Source organism: Homo sapiens, chromosome 2, assembly GCF_000001405.40.
Source record: "Homo sapiens chromosome 2, GRCh38.p14 Primary Assembly".
Lineage (NCBI taxonomy): Eukaryota > Metazoa > Chordata > Mammalia > Primates > Hominidae > Homo > Homo sapiens.
The window spans coordinates 23,677,315-23,695,906 of record NC_000002.12 but is presented as its reverse complement, the minus strand read 5'-3'; the positions used below and the strand labels follow the sequence as shown (position 1 = coordinate 23,695,906).

The window sequence follows — 18,592 nt, the reverse complement described above, 5'->3', positions numbered from 1 at the left end:
GTCGGCATCTGTGCCTGGCACCTCACTGGAACCACTGAGCCCAAGACACTGCTTCTTGGGAGGTTCGGGGCGTGCCCCTTCATACCTGCAGAGAGGCGCGGCCGGGTTCGGGGCGTCTGCATCTCCTGGCGGGCGTGGGGCAGCATATGGTAGCGTTTGGCCTCGTTCACCAGGTCCCGGCAGGCTTCTGATGACTTGATCAGCTCTTCATTGTCAACCACATTGAGCAGGTAGCTGGGGTGGATGAAGGGGAGGCGGACCACGGCCAGGAGCTCAGCCGCGTACTGCAGGGTACAGGAGACAGAATCTTCTTAGACTAGCAAGAGAGAGCCACCTCCCGGACGGAAAGAAATGGTGTGGGGCTGCACAAGAATGGATAATTCCAGGCTGTGTTAGGCTTGGGAGTGTAGATACTCTGCTAGCCTAGACAGAGGTGAAGGGAAGTCTAGTCAGCTGGAGGTGTGGAGGGGAGGGCCGGGAGCGCAGGGGTGCGGAGGGGAGGCTGGCAGGCTGCAGCCAGCCCTGCAGGAGTGGGAGCATGTGTTCATCCCCCCAGCACCCCATTCTCTCACTCCACCTGGGGCTGTGGACCCCTGCTGCAGATCAGGCCACTGGGGGCAGGGGCGAGGGGTTAAAATGAGGAAGACGCGATTATTAAAGAGCTGTGAGTGTGACAAGGACTCAGGAACAGGTGGGAGGACCCAGGAAAGCTTCAAGGAGATGGCGACTATTGAGCTTGTAAGTCTCAGCCGTGGGAGCCTGTGTCTCTCCAGCACCGAAAACTTTCAGTGGTGTCCCATGTCCCACGGCCTCAAACTGTCACCCTGCACTGAGGTGGTTTTACAGGCTCCCTTGAATCTCCCCTCCTAACAAACTCTGCTCATCACTCTACTTTCGTTTCATCCCATGAGTAACGAGACCACCATAGGCCAGGCATGACGCTCATCACTGGGGGTGCAGAGACCACTGTGACCCAGTTTCAGACCTCAAGGGGTACACAGTTTAATGGGAGGGGATCTGCTATGAAAAATTCACGAGGGGCAAGAGGAGTGTCTAGTGAGGGTTTGTAGTGGGTGCAGGAGTAAGAGGTTTTGCAGAGGGAATGGCATCTGGATGGGGTATACAAAATGGGCAGACTTCTGCCAGGCACAAGGTGGATGGGAGGGTGGACATTCGAAGCCCGTGTAGAGGCGTCAGAGAGTGAAAGAGAATGGTGTGTCTGGAGAATTGTCTGGGGTTTATTCTTACGAGATGTAACAGGATTTTGTTGAGGAGGCGTTTAGGGAGACAGGGAGAAGTGAGAGGAGAGAGGCTGGGGAGGCCAGCTCATGCTCATGCTCAACAAGGACTGCACAGTTTCCCCTGTGGAGTCGACGAGGCAACTGAGGAGGGGTTTGAGTGGATGGATGAGATGTTCAGTGTGCTTTTAGAGAGACCGCTCAGGCTGGAGGGTGGAAAATGGATTTGGAGGGAGCAAGACAGAGGCAAGGAAACCACTTAGGAGGTGCTGCAGTAATCCTGGCGAGAGGAGGAAGGTCTCGATGGGGAGAGGGAAGTCGATCCACTTAAAGGGGAGGAAGGAGGCAGGAATGAGCGCGTGTAGCGAAATGGCTATGGGAGAAGTGGGAGGAAGCTAAGCTTCAGTTCTGGGGACCAGGCATCGCTGAAATAAGGAACAGGAAGAGGTGTAGGCTTTCGGCTTGGTGAATTAGACGGATCTGCAGGACATTCTGCTGGAGAGGCCCAGAAGGCCACTGAGCAGAGGGGTCTGGAGCTCAGGAAAGGGTTTCAGCCTGAGACACAGATCTGGGAGTCATAGGGACTTGTGGCTGTCACTGTTATTAGCTGCCCCATCTAACTTCCTACCTCTGAAAAGAAACCCTGCCTCCCACCTGATCTGAGGACCCCTTTCTCTGGGGCTCAATGGCGAGATCTGGGGCGGGAGCCCTCTCTGTATCCTCTGTTTACCCAACACAGTCCCCTCAGGACCTCACTCTCCCTCTTCCTGCATGCAGGGGTTTCCATTTGGTCCATTGCGGGCTGTCCATCCCCTCAACAATCAGAGCAGGTATGGGCTCCTCCAGCTGGGTCCGTGTTCCTGGGAGCCCCAGAGCCCCCTGGCTCAGGGACCCACTTCTCCCTGCAGAGTGCAGGTGCTGCGGCTCTTGGCCGACTTGGGTCTCCTTTGGGGTGGAATGCCAGCCCTTGAGGATCCTTTGGTGACTGGTTTCTCACCTCTCTGCCCGCCCTTCACCTCTCTGCCACTTAGGGAGAGCAGGACAAGGAAGGTTCACTTCCTTCCTCCTTGCTGCAGACCCCATTGCCGCAGGGGGACCCCAAACCCAGAGAGAAGGGGCGGGGGACAGGGCAGGCCCCACCTGTGTGCGTGTCGCGGGGTCCTTCTTGATCCACTTGATGACTGTCTCGTACACCAGCTCCTCAGCCTTGGTGTTGAGGCTGTCGTTGGAGACGTAGGCGATGAAGTCGTCCTTGGAGATGCTGAGGATCTCCTCCTGGGCGGCCACCTCGGGGAAGATCTGCAGCGCGAAGGCCTTGGCCATGTGGTAGAGCTCGCTGCACTGCATGGCCTCGGCCATGGCCAGCACGCCCAGGCAGTTGCTGGCCGTCAGCTGCTTCTCTGGGGGCGACAGCGCAGGACCACTGACCCAAAGGCCCGGGAAGCAGTTGCCACCTGTTCCCATTGCTGTCACCCTAGATCCTTCTCTGAACCCACATCCCGGGGGACCCTGACTGCAGTGTCCAGAGTCCCTGCAGGCCCCCTTCCTGGGTGTCTGGAGGCTTCGATCCTTCTCCTGGGTTCTCCCCTACCCCATTTCATGCTGACTCCCAGGGGCCTCCCTCTGTGCGCACAGGTCCTGGCAGAAGGACCGAGACTGGGAGGCATGGAGCAGGAGAGCCCTGCTCAGAGCCTGGGCCTGGGCTGGGGTCAGGCGTCAGGAGTCACACTGTCGCTGAGGTTGAGGGTGGCACTGAGGCTTACAGCATCTTCCATGTTGTGCCAGGCATGTCTGTGGTCCCAGACTCCTTCGTTAGCAGTAGTGCCCCTCACACACCTCCCAGCTTCTTGCATAGGCTTCTGCCCCACTCAATCTGGCTCGCTAGGCTCTGGGGTCCATCTGGCCAGCTCTCCTGGGCTTAGTGGCTAGGTCTGGGGTGGGAGCCATCTCCGTATCCTGTTTACCCAATACTGTCCCTCCCAGGGCCTTGCACTCTTTCCCCTTCATGCTAGTGGTTCTTCCAACCTAGGCGTGTCTGGGTTTCTGGAGGCCCATCTGTGCGCGAGCCTCACTGCCATCGTGGTTCCTGGCACCTCGAGACTGCTTGGTGCCCCTCTGTCCTCACGGATCTGCCCCATCTCTAGGCTGGGCTCTGGCTTTCTCTCTGCACTCCACACCCCAGGCCACTGCTTCTTTGGGGGCTTTCGTCTTTGTCCCTCCCTCACCTTGCCGTCGCCCATGCGGGGTAGCATCAAGCGTAAAGGCAGCATGTTGTTCGGGTCAGCGACCCCCCCGGGAGCTCCTGACACTCAGTCCCCATCCTGGGCAGCAGATCTGGGTACTCAAGGGACAGTTCAGATGTCTAGACCTGGACAGACATCTGAGGCAGCCCAGGTATGAATAAGGTAAAGGGAAGGCAAGTTTGGGCTGCTTTGTTCAGGGTCTAGAGAACAGGACTGTGAGGCCAGGGCCATAGCCTTTCCCCACAAACAGAGCACATGCACAGCCCTCATGGTGCCATTTGTTCCCACAAGGCCTGGCGGGGCACAGTATGCCTCTCCCACCTACAGAGAAATGACACGGAGTCCTCTTCATTCCATGCCAGGGAAAGAGAGCCTTTGCATGTAGTTATCTGAATTACCATCTTAAAACAGCCCTGCCAAACTCAGCCACATGTGAGGGAGCTTCAGGTGTGCACACACAGACCTCCCCGCTCAGTCCTTGCTGTTTATGGAGTTCTCCGCCCATCTGCACTCTTCCCCCCAAGCGACATATGTGGCCCCCGGGCTCACCGAGAAAGGACACGCAGACTTTGCAGAAGGTGTGGAACTGGAACTTGCTGGCCGCCTCCAGCAGTGTCTTGGCGTTGGCCGAGTCGATGACCAGGGAGCCCGTGTAGACAAACTCCAGCAGCAACTCCAGGACGTCTGCCTGCAGGTTCGACAGGACGAGCTCCAGCTTCTCCCGGCCGCCCTGGCCGCTGTCTTGCACGGACCTAGGCACAGAGACCAGGGTGTCCTTACCTCCTGCCCTGCGGCCACCGTGCCGCTTCCTCACAGGGCTAGATCTCCCTGCACACCTTGGTCATGCCCTTGGTTTTAGGGCTCAAAGGACACGGCAATGACACACCTGAACCTAATGCTGTGACACGGGATCTGAAAGAGAAGAGTCTGACCAGAGACGCCCAAAAGAACAGAAAACCCTGCTTATCACTACTCGGCATGTCCATGCAAAAAAAGATGCAAATCAAAAAGCATGAGCTATGGATGGGGACGAGGACCAGGACTGGCCTCAAAGGGAAACAATACGGTTCAGCCCACTGCAGGCCCTGGTGTCTCCACCAAAGCAGGCCGACGCATCCCAGCCCGGCCCTGCCTGCCTTGGGTGGCAGATTCTCCAACGTGACCCAGGCTTGGGAGGCTCCCAACTGGCTGTGATGCCAGCCAATCCAGAGATATCCTCTGATCGCCCCAGGACCGAGGGCCCCAAGTTGCCCCAGAACCCGCTCCAACCCCACCTCTTTCCAAAAACATATTGTTTCCTTTTAGGCATGAAAAGGAAGCCCTTCGTGACATTGCTTTGAAACTGAGGACAAGACGAGATAGACGGACAGAATGGTGAGAGCCGGGAGGAGGGGAGAGGAAACAACCAAGGACTTCCGCCACAGACAGCCAGCAGCCATGACCTGGGGCCTGGCCCGGGGCGGGCCCTCCTGCCACATGGAACACGGGGTCAGAGGTCAGAGTGGCCTGCGTGTAGAGTGTGCGTCGGGCTGGGGAACTGGGGGGAGCAGGGGAGGGACACAAATATATAAATCTGTTTATATCTGGTGTCTACAGGAATACAAAACCATTGCAAAGGCTCCTAAGGCCTGGCAGCTGCCCCTAAAGCTGGACCTGGAAGGAAACAGATAAGATGAAGCAAGAGTGACACTGATACATAAGTGACAGCAGGAGTAAAAACACCTGCCGCGTTAGGAGTCCGGAGGCGGCCCCGCAGGCCGTCGGCTTGGCCGCCCCATCCTGGCTCCTCTGAGTAGCCCTGCTTCCCACCCTGAGCCCGGTCCTGCCTCGGGCTGGGCCTGGCCACGTGGCTGGGAAATGACCTCTGTGGTCCACTCACTCGCTTCTCAGGAGGCCACAGGGCAAGATGCTTGTGACGGGTCCCTTGCGCGCACCTGCGGCTGGCGGTGGGGCTGTCGAGGTGTCCAGCAAGCGAGCAGGCTGGCCGCAGAGAGGCCAGCTGCTGGGTGTGTGGGTGGGCGGAAAGAGCAGGGGGCAGGGAGCTGGGGGCACTGGGTGCCTGGGCTCTGCCACCCACAGGTGGGCAGCCTTGGTCTCCCGGGCCCTCAGCCTCCTCTTCTGCAAAATAAGAGGATGGAACTAGATGAGGTCTGAATTCCCTTGGAGATTTTGTGACAGAGGCTGGAAAATGCCCTTCCCACGAGACTCTTCCCTACGTGGCAGTACCTGAAATTCCACCATTAGAGCGACATTCTCTGAGGTCAGGCACCGCCCTCCCAGGGCCTCAGCACAGGCATGGCCAGGAGGAGAGGGGGAGGTGCAATCCTGCTGCGGAGCTGGCGTCCAGCCTCTCTCCCAGCGTGGCCACAGTAGGCCCTCCCCACACAACGGCTCATCCCACCAGGACCCCAAGGGGCCTCTGCCTCCAAGCCCGGGGCCAGCCCAGAAGGCAGAGGGGGCAAGGTGTGGACTCCACAGAGGCCCCTCCAAACCCCCCAACACAGAGTGACTTCTAAAGTGAATTCACACACCTAGTCTTCTGCTGTCAGGATGGATTTCCATACCTCGGTGGCTTTGTTAAGCGTAAAAATAATTCACTACGTGATCACTTAAAATCACAGAAATCCTCAACACCCCCGGCCCCAGAGCCATCTGGTCAACCTCGTACTCCTGTCTTTGCTGCCTGGGACTTCATTCCTACAAGCCGCTGTCCAGCCTCTCCTCTGCATGCCCTTTCTGCCCTGTGGAGGTCACACTGGGCCACAGCCTTCTCCCGAGGCCCCCAGTCACTGCTGCCTTCACCTCTGGCCAGCCCACTTGTCCACCCAGGAGTCCTCAGGCAGAGGAGCTCAAAGCCAGTGAAGGGCTGAGCCCAGGGGGACTTCAGGATGTGCGAGCACATGCACACGCACACATATGCACTGACCCTAAGAGCCGTGAAGTCCCCCGGTGGGGAGGGGTGCTGGGCAGACGGACAGTCCATGGCTGAGTGACAGGTGCGATGGGACTCACATGGCTGCCCTGAGGGGTGCTGCCTGTCTTGCCCACAGTCTGAGCCAGGGAGTGGGTCCTGGCCACCAGGCACAGGAGGAGGGACACAGGTGCCGTGGAGCATCGCAGGTGCTGTCTAGACTGAGGAGGACCCCTGGCCACAGGAGGCATGGCTGTGGCTCTGTTCCTCCTGGCCCCTTGTGAGGGTCACCTGTGGGGTGGAGGGGGCCGCTGGGCAGATGATCTGCAGGGAAAGGCCGCAGAGGCACAGGGGAATGTGATGGGGGCTCTTTCAGAATCTGAGTTCAAAGAGGAGGCGAGGCCCCAGAGGGCGAGGGCTGTGCCTCTTACCAACACACACGGTTCTCATCCACACAGGCCTTCGTGCATGGCCTGCAGAGCTGTGAGGGGGTGGGGGCGCCTCTGTATCCCTGGACATCAGACTGTCTTGGGACTGGACCCCAGTGCTCCTTAGGCCTCTTCTCTCTGAACAGGGACCCCAGAGGGGACACCCCCGTGATGGGTGACCCTGGTCGCTGACGAGGGCTGCGTCCTCCACAGGTGGCTGTTCTGTCCCTGCCCCAAGCCATTTCTTGTCCTGTCCTACCGGGCCCCATGGAGTGAATGGCTTGGGGTGCTGCTGGCCCATCAGGTCATGATGTGGCTTTGGAGGGACTGCAGCAGGGCAGACGGGCAGCACTAACCCTCTCTATGAAGCTGACGCAGGGGGGTGGGGTATAGAGTGAGGGCAGGCTGGTGCTCCCCAGCCACACAGGCCCCATGGGGTCTGTCAGAAGACCAGAGCTTCCTGGAGTCACCTACTTCTGGGCGTGGGGGTGCCCAGGAGAGGCCAGAGTCCGGGACGCAGCCTCTGCTCAGCAGAGGAATGGCTAGGCCCAACTACTAGAATGTTTGCAATCCCACCATTAGCCACAGACTCATCCAGGATTAGAAATGCCCTTCCTTCCAGACATCAGGATGGAGGCCCTCATCCACCCTCATGCACCTCAGAGATCAGATGTTTTCATTTTGCAAGTTGGAACTGGGCACTGTCTGGAGCAATGAGAGGAATCCATGGGCAGTGGTGGGTGAGGGACAGGCATGGGGCAGGTGGCTGGTACCCAGCTCTGCTCAGAAGAGAGGACTCCGCCCATGAATGAACGCCTGGGCGTGTCATCAGCTGCAGGACACACGCATGGGCATGCACCCAGTCTCCCTGGGTCTTGGGGATTTGTGTGGCTCAGGCCCACCCTTGGTAACTTGGTGACAGGTGTGGGTGACGCCATTGTGCCAGCATCCAAGATGAGACATGGGAGTCTCGTTATCTGGCTTCCAAGCCACACCTGTCCACTCTACCGAGGTGCTGCCACCCACACATGCTCAGGGAAGAGGGTGAAGGGTGTGGGGCTCTGGGCAGGACTTTGCCGGGACCCTTCTGCATGGCCATGGGGGGCAGCCAAGCCCAAAGGGACTCGGCCGCAGGCTGGGAGAGGACACTGAGACCCAGCTCTCCCGCTCATGGTCTGACTGTCATCTTTACAAAACACACATCTGGTCGCAACGCCCCCAGGCTCCTGTGACCCAGGTCTAGCCTCCCTCCAGCCGCGTCCCCTGCAAGCCACCCTCATACCCGGCCCTGCAGCAACGTGGAGTCACCTGTGGGACCTGAGACCCCCTCCCGCCTTTCGACCTTGCTCTTCCCCACTTGTCTGCCCGGACAATGCCCATTCTTCATAACCCACATCAGATGCCACCTCTCCAAGGAGCCTCTCTGAATGACCCTCCCCCACAGCCAGGCCCTTGGACCACAAGTCTCTGAAGCATCGTCTCTGCTCGTCTCCTTGCCTGTCTGCAGCGTGTCCCCACCAGACTGTGGGCTCAGCTGGTGTTTGGTGTGAGCCCCGGCCCCAGGAGGGGCTCCTGTGTGTTTGCTGAGTGACGAGCCAGTGAGTGACTTGAATTCCCATTCTGTCCTGTGGCTGTGGGGCAGGGCGTCTGCACTGGGGTTGGGTCTGGCAGGCACCGTCCTTGCCAGGCTTGGGTGCTGGGTCATTGTCCTCCCTGGGGCTGGAGTGGTGGACACATCACCTGTCCCAGGCTGGTGGTGGGAGTCTAGTCTGAGCCTCCAGACCTGGGGATGCGGGGACAGCAGGGAGGGATCACCTGCCCCTGGCAGGGCTCACCCAGGGAGGGCCAATGTTGATCCCCACGGAGGTCTACACCAGGACAGAGGTCCCAGAGAAGGTCCCTACTCCCTCCCCTTACAAGAGTGCAGCTGCCTGAGCGTGGAGCCACTGCTTGGGGTCAAAGGGCAGGGCCATGGCTCTGCACTGGGCCAATCCGGCCACTGCACAGTAAGTCTCCAGGGTCACGGATGCCAAGGGGACTGAAAAGACATGGTTACATCAGCTTCTCTCTTGACCACCAAGAATGTGAAATTCTCTATGATTTTACACGGCAGGAAAGGAAGCCATCTTCTTGTAAAGACTTGGCTTTCCTCCCAAGAAGGCACTTCTTGGTCATGTGTGCTCTGTGGCTGCAAACGAACACGGCGACTTTCAGCCACAGGGCACCCTGGGCTTGGCTTTGGCTTCCCCTCCTTTTTCCTGTGTGACCTTACTGTATGCTGAAGGCCCCCCAGCCCCATCTCTACAAACCTCAGACCTCTCTGGGTTCAGTTCCATGCACCTGGCTGCCTACAGGTGGCCCAACCTGGGGACCTGGGCGTCCGTCAGGCTGCTCAGCTTGACACACCAGATGGTCAACTGCTCATCTCCCCAGCTCTCCCGACACTGGCCTGTGGACCTGCTCTCCTCCCTGTGACCTCTGATGCCCGTGACCTCTGATGCCCGTGACACCTCACCTCCTTGGGTCCTGGTGCTTGCCTTTCCGTCCTGGTCCTGCCCATCCTCTGCCCATCCCCCGGAGGTGTCAGAGCTGCAAGGAGACCTGGGCATCACTTGAACCAATTTCCTGATTTATAGATGAGAAAGCCCAGGGCGCAGGAGAGGACGTGACCAGTCTGAGGTCACAAGACAAGCGGCGGAGTCAGGCGTAGGACCCAGGTCTCCTACCTGCCAAGGTGGGGATGTCCTCTCTCCTCCAGCCCCATCCTTTCTGATGAGGGCCACCGAGACACATCCTACTGTTCTCCTTCCTTCAGGTGGGCGTCCCCTCCCCACTGCTCTTGAAGTTACCCACCTCAGACCATGCCCAGGTCCTAGCATGGGGTCAGGGCTTGCCTGCCCCAGTGCAGCCCCCTCTGGAGGGCCATCTGCCCCACCCTGCCCTTCCCCACTCATGCCCCATCCCCGGCCTGGAATGCTCTTCCTCCCTCTTCTCAGCCCAAGAAGCCTTCACTACTTTGGGTTCCCTCCTAGCACGTGTTCTTCTCTGTTGTGTGCAAGTCTGGCTTTCAATGTGCGGTCTCTGAAAGCCATCCGAGGGCCCTGTGCTCCTCTCACCCACCACGTTCTAGCTGGGGACTAGGCTGCCGCTCAGCACTGACCTGCCCCCTTTCTGTCCTCTCTAGCTGGTTTGGAGCCAGGCCCAAGACCCTAGGACGCTCATCCATGATCCGGCAGCCCGATGCGGGCCCCTGCTGTCCAGGATTTGTCAAGAGTGGCAGCACAGAGTCCTCCCTGGCCTGGTGAGGCCACTAGACATGTCCCTTCACCCCAGACCACATGCCCCTAACCCCTGTGCTTGGACAGAGAGAGCCCAAGCACCGGGGGCAGGAGACCTGAGGTGTCCATGAGATGGGAAGTCCCAAAGAGCCTGCCCCTTCCTGCGAGGCTGAGGGCCGGCATGTGGCCAGCCAGAGCCTGCCCACAGGGCAGCTGGGCTCTATGTGAAAGGCCGGATCGGAGAGGAGATGCCAGCCAGGGATCCATCCTGAAACAAAACACAGTCACTCCGGGGTTAGTTGGCAAGTCCAAACACGGCATTGGGAAGCAGAGGTCCTGTCCTCCCTCTGAGCACAGTCCCGGCTCAGCGTCTGCCCCGGAGAGGCTGCAAGGCAAGAGGAGCAGCGGCGTTAATCTGCTGAGGGCTGAGAGAAACGTGAGCGTTACCCTGGGCTGGCCCCTTGGCTGCTCTCCCTTACTACGGAGCTGGAAGGTGGCCCCTGACTTCTTTGCAAAGGTATGAAGCAGACAAATTAAAAAATCAACATAATGGAGGAAAAAAAAAAAGATGCTCATGCACCAATAAGACTCATTCAGGTAGAAATAGCCAGGGCAGAGGGCAGGAGGGAGGGAGCAAGGGTTGAGAGAGACCGTGTTTAGGACACACCTGGTCTATGCTCCACAGCGCCGGTTTAGGCTCACTGCACAAGGATCAGACATGCAGTGTGGCCCAGGCATTGCTACAAGTCTCTTCTCCCCTACTTGGGCTGGGGAAAAGCAGCCCCGGGGGCACCTTGTGCTCCTCAGCAGGGACAGCCTGGCCGATGCGCTTTCCTGGCATTAGTCACCACCGACAGCAGGGACGATGGCACTGGGGATCCTGCTCTGGCCCGGTGGGGGCAGTGTGTAGTGATCCCTTAAAATGGAGCCTACAGTCCCCCCTAATCTCAGGGACAGCTTGTGAGCCACTGAGAACCTGGGATCTCAGGGGTGGGGCACGGTGTTGTCTACTGCTGGCAGAGGCCCCTGGTGACCAGCAAAGCTGGTGACAGCAAAGCTGTGGGTGGGGGCGGGTGCTGGGCGCAGTGGCTGCTCTGAGGCTGTGTGTGAGAGGGTACTGGGGAGGAGGAGGAGGAGGAGGAGGAGAGATGGCTACTGGCTCTGTGACAGGGAGTCACGCTTCAGGAACCTGCAAGAGAGGGGAAGAGAAAAGCGACACAAAAGCGTCCTACAAAGGAACAGACCCGACCACAGCTGGAAGGAAGGCAAACCTTTGAATCAGGTCCTTGAAATACAAGCTGCAGGAAGCTAGAACATTTTGGTGGACTTCAAACTCTCTGCCTTCAACAACAATTTTCAGGTCTGTAAACGCTTTCGCTCTGCGTTGCTGGTTCAATTCCTTCAACATTTCTGCAGAACAGAGAAGACAGACAGGGCCAGGTTCCCATTAAGAGTTTTTTTTTTTTTAATTAAAAAAAGTTTTTTTTCTTTTTTCAAGAAGTAGAGAAATAGGAAATACTTGATATTGTTTCTTGGCAAGACTGGCTCAACACTGACAGTCAAAAGAAGTCACAAACATAATGCATAAACAAGCAGCCACTGGGAGGGGCTAATAACCAAAGGAATCACAACTTTAAAAAGCAAAAAAACCAAATATGATACAAAAAATCAAACCCAGAAATTGAAAGGTTGGGGGAGAGATTCCCATACTGACGATTGGAAACATAGAGAATACATTATCACAGACAACTAAAAACTGTCAAATAACTACGGAGCAAGTTCTCCAAATGCCAATGGGTGCCGATGTATTGGAGACCAAGTCAAGCATGGCACTGTGATGTAAGATGGGCTGGATATGGTTCAAAGGAATCACAACCACAAAACCTGCAAAAACAGCGTCCCTTATGTTAGACACTCACAGCCATGGCGTGGGAGGAGACCCCGAGAAAGGAGGGGGCCATGGGAGGCCTGGCAAGCACCTCCTTCTGTTTCACACTTGTGGGGACTTTTCGGGAAAGCAAGCAAGCAAGGGACAGGGACCCTCTGCGCCTCCTCCCATGTCCCAGTTGAGTCTCTCAGGACACCCACCCTCTCCTGGGGCTTTGACATGGGGCAGAGCCTGCTTTACAGCCCGGCAGATCCCAGGAAGTGGCCTCGGAGGCTCCCACTCTGCTGCACACCTACCTGTGCCCGGTGTCTTGGACCTGGGGCTGGCACAGACAGTGCCCGGGCCCATGGGCTCCAGACCTGGGGATGTCAGAAGCTTCTCCCAGACCCACCCCAAGGCTTAGAAAGGAGAAGGAGGGAAGAGCCTGCCAGTCACCCTGTTGGGGTTGCACACTCTCTTTCATTGGCAAAAGTTAGGGCCTTCAGTTGACCACTGCTCCCCACAACAGCCTTGCCTCATCTGCCTGCCCCCAGGATCCCCTGGGCAAAGCCTGCCCTTAATGTTGCTGGCAGCTGCGCGTCAGAGGCCCTGATCCTTGGGCCAGAATGACCTAGACTGTCTTCAGGCCAGGCGATTTCCCTTGGCAGGTGTGTGGGAGAGGGTGGCCTGCAGAGCTGAGCCCTGCTCTCCAGCCCCACCGGCCATCGCCCCTGCTCCAGCCTCATTGGTTGTTGCTGTCCACATGGGCCAGGGCCGGCTGCCCGCCAGGACTCCTTCCTGGCCCCAGCCCTGCTTCTGACACTTGGCCAAGACCCTTTGTCTCTCTGAGCCTCTGCTTCTGCATCTGTAAAATGGGGATTGAGGATCCTGCTTCTGCTCCCTGATTGCCAGGCAGGCCCTTTTTGGTGAGGACACACTGGGCTCTGCTGAAGACCAAGGAAGACGGTGGGAGGGGCTCCTGGAGAACACGCCACATGCATGTTCAGGGATCGGGGTTGGGGGCCCTGCCCTCTGGGAGCCATGGCAAGGCCGAATCACTGACCCCGCCAACCCCAAGTCACACTGAGTCTGGAGTCACAGCAGAGCATCTCCAGGGGTGCGGAAGGGGGCTCTGGCTGGGACTTCAGGAAGGATCTACGTGGGGTGAGCTCAGACCCGGAGCAAGGGGGGTGGGAGCTACAGACAGAGACCAACAGGCTCAGAGCACCAGTGGGAGGGCGCGGGAGGGTGCGGGAGGGTGTGGGAGGGTGCAGGAGCACGAGGGGGCAGGTGCAGGTGGACAAAAGGGCCATGGGCAACAGGGAACACAATGAGGCGGTGGGCGGGGCCAGATCGCAACAGTCTTGCCTGGGAGCTCCAGCTTCATCCTGGGGCACCAGGGAGCCACAGGGGATTCTGGACAGGAAGTGGCAAGGTTAGACTTGGGTTTCAGACAAATCCACACAGAGGCAGGATGGGGAGTGGCTTGGGAGGCCAATGGGAGGCAAGATAGCGCCGTGCAGAGAGTTGAGCCTCGAAGCCAGACCTGAGGGTGAACCTGCACTGGGCCTCCTATCAGCTCTGTGACCTTGGGAAAGGGGACCCACATCCTCAGAGCCTCAGGGTCCACACTTGTTGAAGGTTCCATGAGACAGCATGTGGCGGGCACACAGGGAGCGCTCAGCGGGTGGGAGTGTGCAGTGCTGCTGATGGTGACGGTCTTTCCGAGGGAGAGGTGAGAAGGCCGGAATTACACAGCAACAGCAGGACAGAGAAACAGGAGCGTGTGGACCCCGTGGGGCTCAGTGCAGGAAGGAAGTGGGGAGGGGGAGGCATGGAGACCACTAACAGGTTTTTGGAGGGGATGGTGGTGGGACATCAGGAAGGGAGGGAACAAGAAGATCAGTTGTGGGGTGGGGCCTGTGGGACACCTGGGGGATGGGGTAGGAGGCGGTGGATAGAGGCCTGGGCTAGAGACAAGGTAGAGAGCCCAGCGGCGCCTGCGCACAGCCCAGGCGGAGGGGAGACAGCACAGGGCCAGTTGCAGGGCCAGGCTGGATAAGGCTCAGCTGCCATGCTCACACGTATCTCCAGAAAGAGTCACCAGCCGAATTAATGCCCAAACCACGAGCCAGGTAGATGACATCCCCTTTTTGAGTGAAGCGGTAGGGGAGGGGACAGAATTCTGGGCTGGGATTCTGAAGACCTGGATCCTGGTTCTTGTTCCAGCACTGCCACTAATTGGTGTGTGACCCTGGGCCAGCACCCCAGCTTTCTGGGCCTCTGTTTCCTCTAGCACAGAAGGGCAGAGACACCTGCTTGGTAGCCCCCTGGGTGTCATGCTGCAGAGAGTGACAGATGTGGCCCCACATGCCTGCTGAGTTAATCAGTGCTTAGGGGCCTGGAAAACACAACAGCACACAAATGCCTACTCTTTCTGGGCCCGAGGCATCCTGAGGGTTTCTGAAGACCTTCCTTTCAAATCGAGGTCCCGGCAATGATTCTATCTAAAGCCCCAGCCCCGGCCGTGACACCTTCTGCTCCAGGAATTCTGGAGCTAGACCTGGAAGGCGCTTGGAGGTTCAGGTGTCCCCATCCTAATGTAGGTGCTTTCTGCTCTCTCTGAATCTCACTTGGTGGAAATCTGGATTTAATAGTTGGGGAAGATTATTCACTTTCAGAAGAATTTTTCAATTTATGAAAGTGCTCACCAGGGGATTCCCAGCAGGCCCCAAGTGCATTCCTAGTATCGATTGGCTGGTGTGTGCGGGCTGCTGCCCACTGCCTGCCCGGCCGGCGAAGCAGGAGCTTAGGCTCTCAGGCTGTGCCTGTCGGTGGGGAGACCCAGAATCCACAAGGGGACACCAGGACCCGCTGGGCACAGGCTGCCCTCCTCCCTGCCCCATGTTTTGGCAAAGGACACTCCCTGATCTCTGAGAAGCTTCCAAGTGAGGTGTGTGGGATTGCTGCGGGGTCTGGGGAGATCTTCCAACAACATGGCCTATTCTCAGGTGTGGGAGATTTGCAGGCCTCGGGGCTGGGTCTTCAGAGTGGACTTCCAGAAGCACCTGGCACCCTGCACTATCCTGCTCCAGGATTCTGCGGGAGAAGATGATGGCCTAGAGACCCCAGGAGAAGATGGCCTAGAGACCCCAGGAGAAGATGGCCTAGAGACCCCAGGAGAAGATGGCCTAGAGACCCCAGGGGAAGATGGCCTAGAGACCCCAGGGGAAGATGGCCTAGAGACCCCAGGGGAAGATGGCCTAGAGAGCCCAGGAGAAGATGGCCTAGAGACCCCAGGAGAAGATGGCCTAGAGAGCCCATGACCCTCCCTGCATGGAGGCTCGGTGGGGTCTGGCGAGTGGAGTCCTGGCAGCTGAGCCTACCAGGTGGGATGAAGACTTGGCCTCAGCATCTGTCCCTGTTGGTCGGCCCCAGAGGTTGTTTTTGGGTCTCCTCGGCTTTGAGCGGGATGCCCGCCTACGTCTGTGGGACTGCACACCCTGGCCTTGCTCACGGAAGTGGCTTCCCCATGCTCAGATTTTTGTCCCAGGCCTCTTTGCCCCTTTCCCCACTTCCTCCTGCATGCCCAGGATGCTCGACTCAGCGCCCAGCATGGAGCTCCTCTTCCCGTGGAAGACGGTCCACTGCCCGCAATCCGCAGGCCTTCCCCAGACTCCTCCCCTCCCTCATCACACCAAGTCCCATCTTTTTACCTCCTAGAATTCTCAGGATCCAGCCTCTCCTGCCCTAGGCCCTCCAGCACCCTGAGTGAGCTGCCCTCATCTTTCACTTGAGTCACTGCAACAGCCTCTGAGGATGTCTCCCTGTTTCCAGCCTGTCCCCCTCCAGGCCACCTCCACACTGCATCCTCACAGCCACTGGCCACACAAATCCTTCGGGGCTGAAGGGGCAGCACAGCCCTCTGGGAGGTCTCCCCGTTCCCTCCGCTCCTCCTCCACTCCCAGGGGACCCTTTGCTCCCCAGCGAAGCCTCCTTGCACCCCACACACGTCCCCACTCCAAGTCTCCGTCCCCTCCGCCTGGATCTTCCCTCCCCTTCCTCCATCTGGCCAAGCAGTATTTATCCTTCACCACCAGGGAAAGTGTTATTTTGTCCTGGGCCTCTTTGCCTCCTTCCCCTCTTCCTCCCACACCCTCTGCCCTCTGCCCTCCTCCGGAGGCTGGCAGAACAACTTGTGCTCACTTCTTTATCGATACTAGGAGTTGTAATTATTTATTTACATGTCTGCCTCCTGCACTAGACTATGTTTTATTCATATTTTTATCTTCGACACTCAGCACAGGGCCTGGCATACATATATATATATCTGGTGTGATGGATGGCAAATATTCTTTGTAGCTTCCCCCGTCAAGAGGTGGAGATGATTTCCCTACCCTTTGAATCTTGGCTGGCTTTGTGATTTGCTTTGGACTACAGAATGTGGTGGAAGTGACCCTGTGAAAATGTGAGTCACGGCCTTAAGAAGCTTTGCTCACTTTCACTCACTCTCCAGGGACCCCTGGCACCACCACCATAGGAACAAGCCTGGGCTAGCCTGTTGGAGCATGAGAGACTGTGTGGAGCAGAAACGAGCTGTCCCAGATGAGGCATTTAGACCAGCCAGTCTCTGCCAATATCAGCCAGGCCTGACCTAGATTGGCTGAGTGTAGTCCAAACTGCTAAACCAGGATCACAATCTAAATAAGTGGCTGTTTTTAAAACACTCAATTTTAAGTCACTGAATTTTAGAATTGTTTGTTAAGCAGCAAGAGCTAACTGATACACAAGGCATGAATAGATGATGGACTCAAGTGCTCAGGGAACTTTCCCTGTGTTGGTTTCACCTTTGCTAGTTCAGTTTGAGGCTAATTCTTTTTTTTTTTTTTTAGTTGTGGTAAAATGTACCCATTTTAAAGTGTCCAGTTCAGTTGTGTTAAGTATATTCACACTGTTGGGCAATCCTCTGGAATCCTTTTCATCTTCACAAACGGAAACTCCACACCCATTAAACAACCACTCCCCACCTCCCCTCCACTCATCCCCGGCAACCACCATTCTACTTTCTGTCTCTATGAGTTTGACTATTTTAGACCCTCTTATAAGTGGAATTATGCAATATTTGTCCTGTGAATGGCTTTATTTCACCTAGCATAATGTCCTTAAGGTTCACCCACATGGTAGCATGCATCAGGATTTCCCTCCTTTTTAAGGCTGGCTAATATTCCACTGTATGTAGATACCACATACTGTTTAACCATTCATCCTTTGATGGACGCTTGGGTTGCTGCCACCATTTTGCTATTGTAAACAATGCTGCTATGAGCACTTATTTAGACTGTGACTCTGGTTTGGCAGTTTGGGCTACACTCAGCAGATCTAGGTCAGGCCTGGCTGATATTGGCAGAGACTGGCCGGTCTAAATGTCTCATCTGGGACAACTCATTTCTGCTCCACGTGGTCTCTCATGCTCCAACAGGCTAGCCCAGGCTCATTCCTATGATAGTGGTGCCAGGGGTCCCCGGAGAGTGAGTGAAAGTGAGCAAAGCTTCTTGAGGCCATAGCTCCCATTCAGTTCTCACCCCCGAGTTATGGACCAGATATCCCCTCTAACGACCCGTCTCAAACCCCATTGGTTCTAAGTGGTGAGTGTAAAATGGCTCTGTGGATGCAGCGGCAAGTGGCACGAGGGAATGGGGACTGGAAGAGGCTCTGCCTGGGGCTGGATGCTTTGCCTAGAGGAGAGTGAAGCCACAAACAGAACCAAGGCTGGAGATGAAGTTGCAGCCAAACTTCTGCATATTTTTCACCAAACGACACAAGTTATTTGTCAGAGACTAATGGGCTCGTTCTGGCTGGCCTATAAGGGCTGTATGAGATGGTAATAAAGAGGAAGAGATGTCAAATATTAAAAGGCAAAGAATTTCAGTGGCTTTGCAGCAGAGAAGTCCATTAAATCAGAGCCTTGAGAAAGGTTGTGTGGCCAAATCATTTTTTTCAGAGCTCAAGTAAGAACCCAGCTAGGTGATAAATGCTTCCCATCCCATTGGTATGTATGACACATATTTGATAAAGGACCTGAAAAAATTATAAACTCAGAGCAGTTGTGAAATATACTGAGAAAGCCCAGCAAAGACAGTGTCAGGCAGGCCCAGAGGGTAATTCATCCAGGAGCAGGGAGCGCGACGCATGCTGACACTGTGGGGACAAATGGGGGCTTTACACAAACAGAACGTCCCGCTGCTGCTCCACGCGCCTCCCAAGCGGAATGTTGCCCTCCCTCCCCGGTCTGATCAGATATGCATTTCTTCCCCTACTTCTTTTCCAAAGAAGAGTTGGCCTCAGAATAAACCCTGAAGGCCAAGAGCGGGCTCCAGCTTCCAGGTGAGACAGAATGAAACCACCTGCGGGCGGCACCTGTGGGTCGCTCGTCCAGCCTGAGTCGGACGTGTGACACCTGAGGCCCTATGCAGGCAAACCCTCCTAGGAACCATGAAACACTCTGACTTCTTGCCTGGACTTAGGGTTTTAGTGAAGAGCCCTTCTGGCTTTCCTGTGGTCCAAATGGGAATTTCTGCCATTTATCTAAAAGGGAGCCAAAGTCCTAGGAACAGTTACAACCTCACC

At 56.8% G+C, this 18,592-nt stretch overlaps 2 protein-coding genes across 6 annotated transcripts in view, besides 1 other annotated feature; one reads left to right on the top strand and one right to left on the bottom strand.

The window, feature by feature from the left end:
* ATAD2B (ATPase family AAA domain containing 2B) overlaps positions 1–17,938 on the top strand; it is a 249,155-nt gene extending 231,217 nt beyond the window's left edge. For 2 of the 3 annotated variants that reach the window (XM_047444799.1, XM_006712030.5), the window contains one exon: positions 4,787–17,938. Coding sequence is in view for 1 of the 3 variants with exons in the window: in XM_006712030.5 (XP_006712093.1) it covers positions 4,787–4,792 (6 nt within the window). In the remaining 2 variants the exon portion in view is untranslated. The remainder of the gene's footprint in view (positions 1–4,786) is intronic. The other variant, XR_001738780.3, reaches the window with a different exon arrangement.
* The window catches only part of KLHL29 (kelch like family member 29), a 323,428-nt gene that overhangs the window by 12,700 nt on the left and 292,136 nt on the right, over positions 1–18,592 (bottom strand). For all 3 annotated transcript variants that reach the window (NM_052920.2, XM_006711929.4, XM_011532501.3), the window contains 4 exons: positions 11,370–11,508; positions 4,031–4,233; positions 2,379–2,638; positions 86–284 (listed from right to left, as the gene is read on the bottom strand). In NM_052920.2, coding sequence (NP_443152.1) covers positions 86–284; positions 2,379–2,638; positions 4,031–4,233; positions 11,370–11,508 — 801 coding nt within the window. The remainder of the gene's footprint in view (positions 1–85; positions 285–2,378; positions 2,639–4,030; positions 4,234–11,369; positions 11,509–18,592) is intronic.
* Positions 6,507–7,052: an enhancer, noted in NCBI's record as "H3K4me1 hESC enhancer chr2:23911725-23912270 (GRCh37/hg19 assembly coordinates)". NCBI's record gives its function as "activates a minimal SCP1, AML or CMV promoter by ChIP-STARR-seq in naive H9 embryonic stem cells {active_cell/tissue: H9 hESC(naive)}" and the evidence as "EXISTENCE:reporter gene assay evidence [ECO:0000049][PMID:30033119]".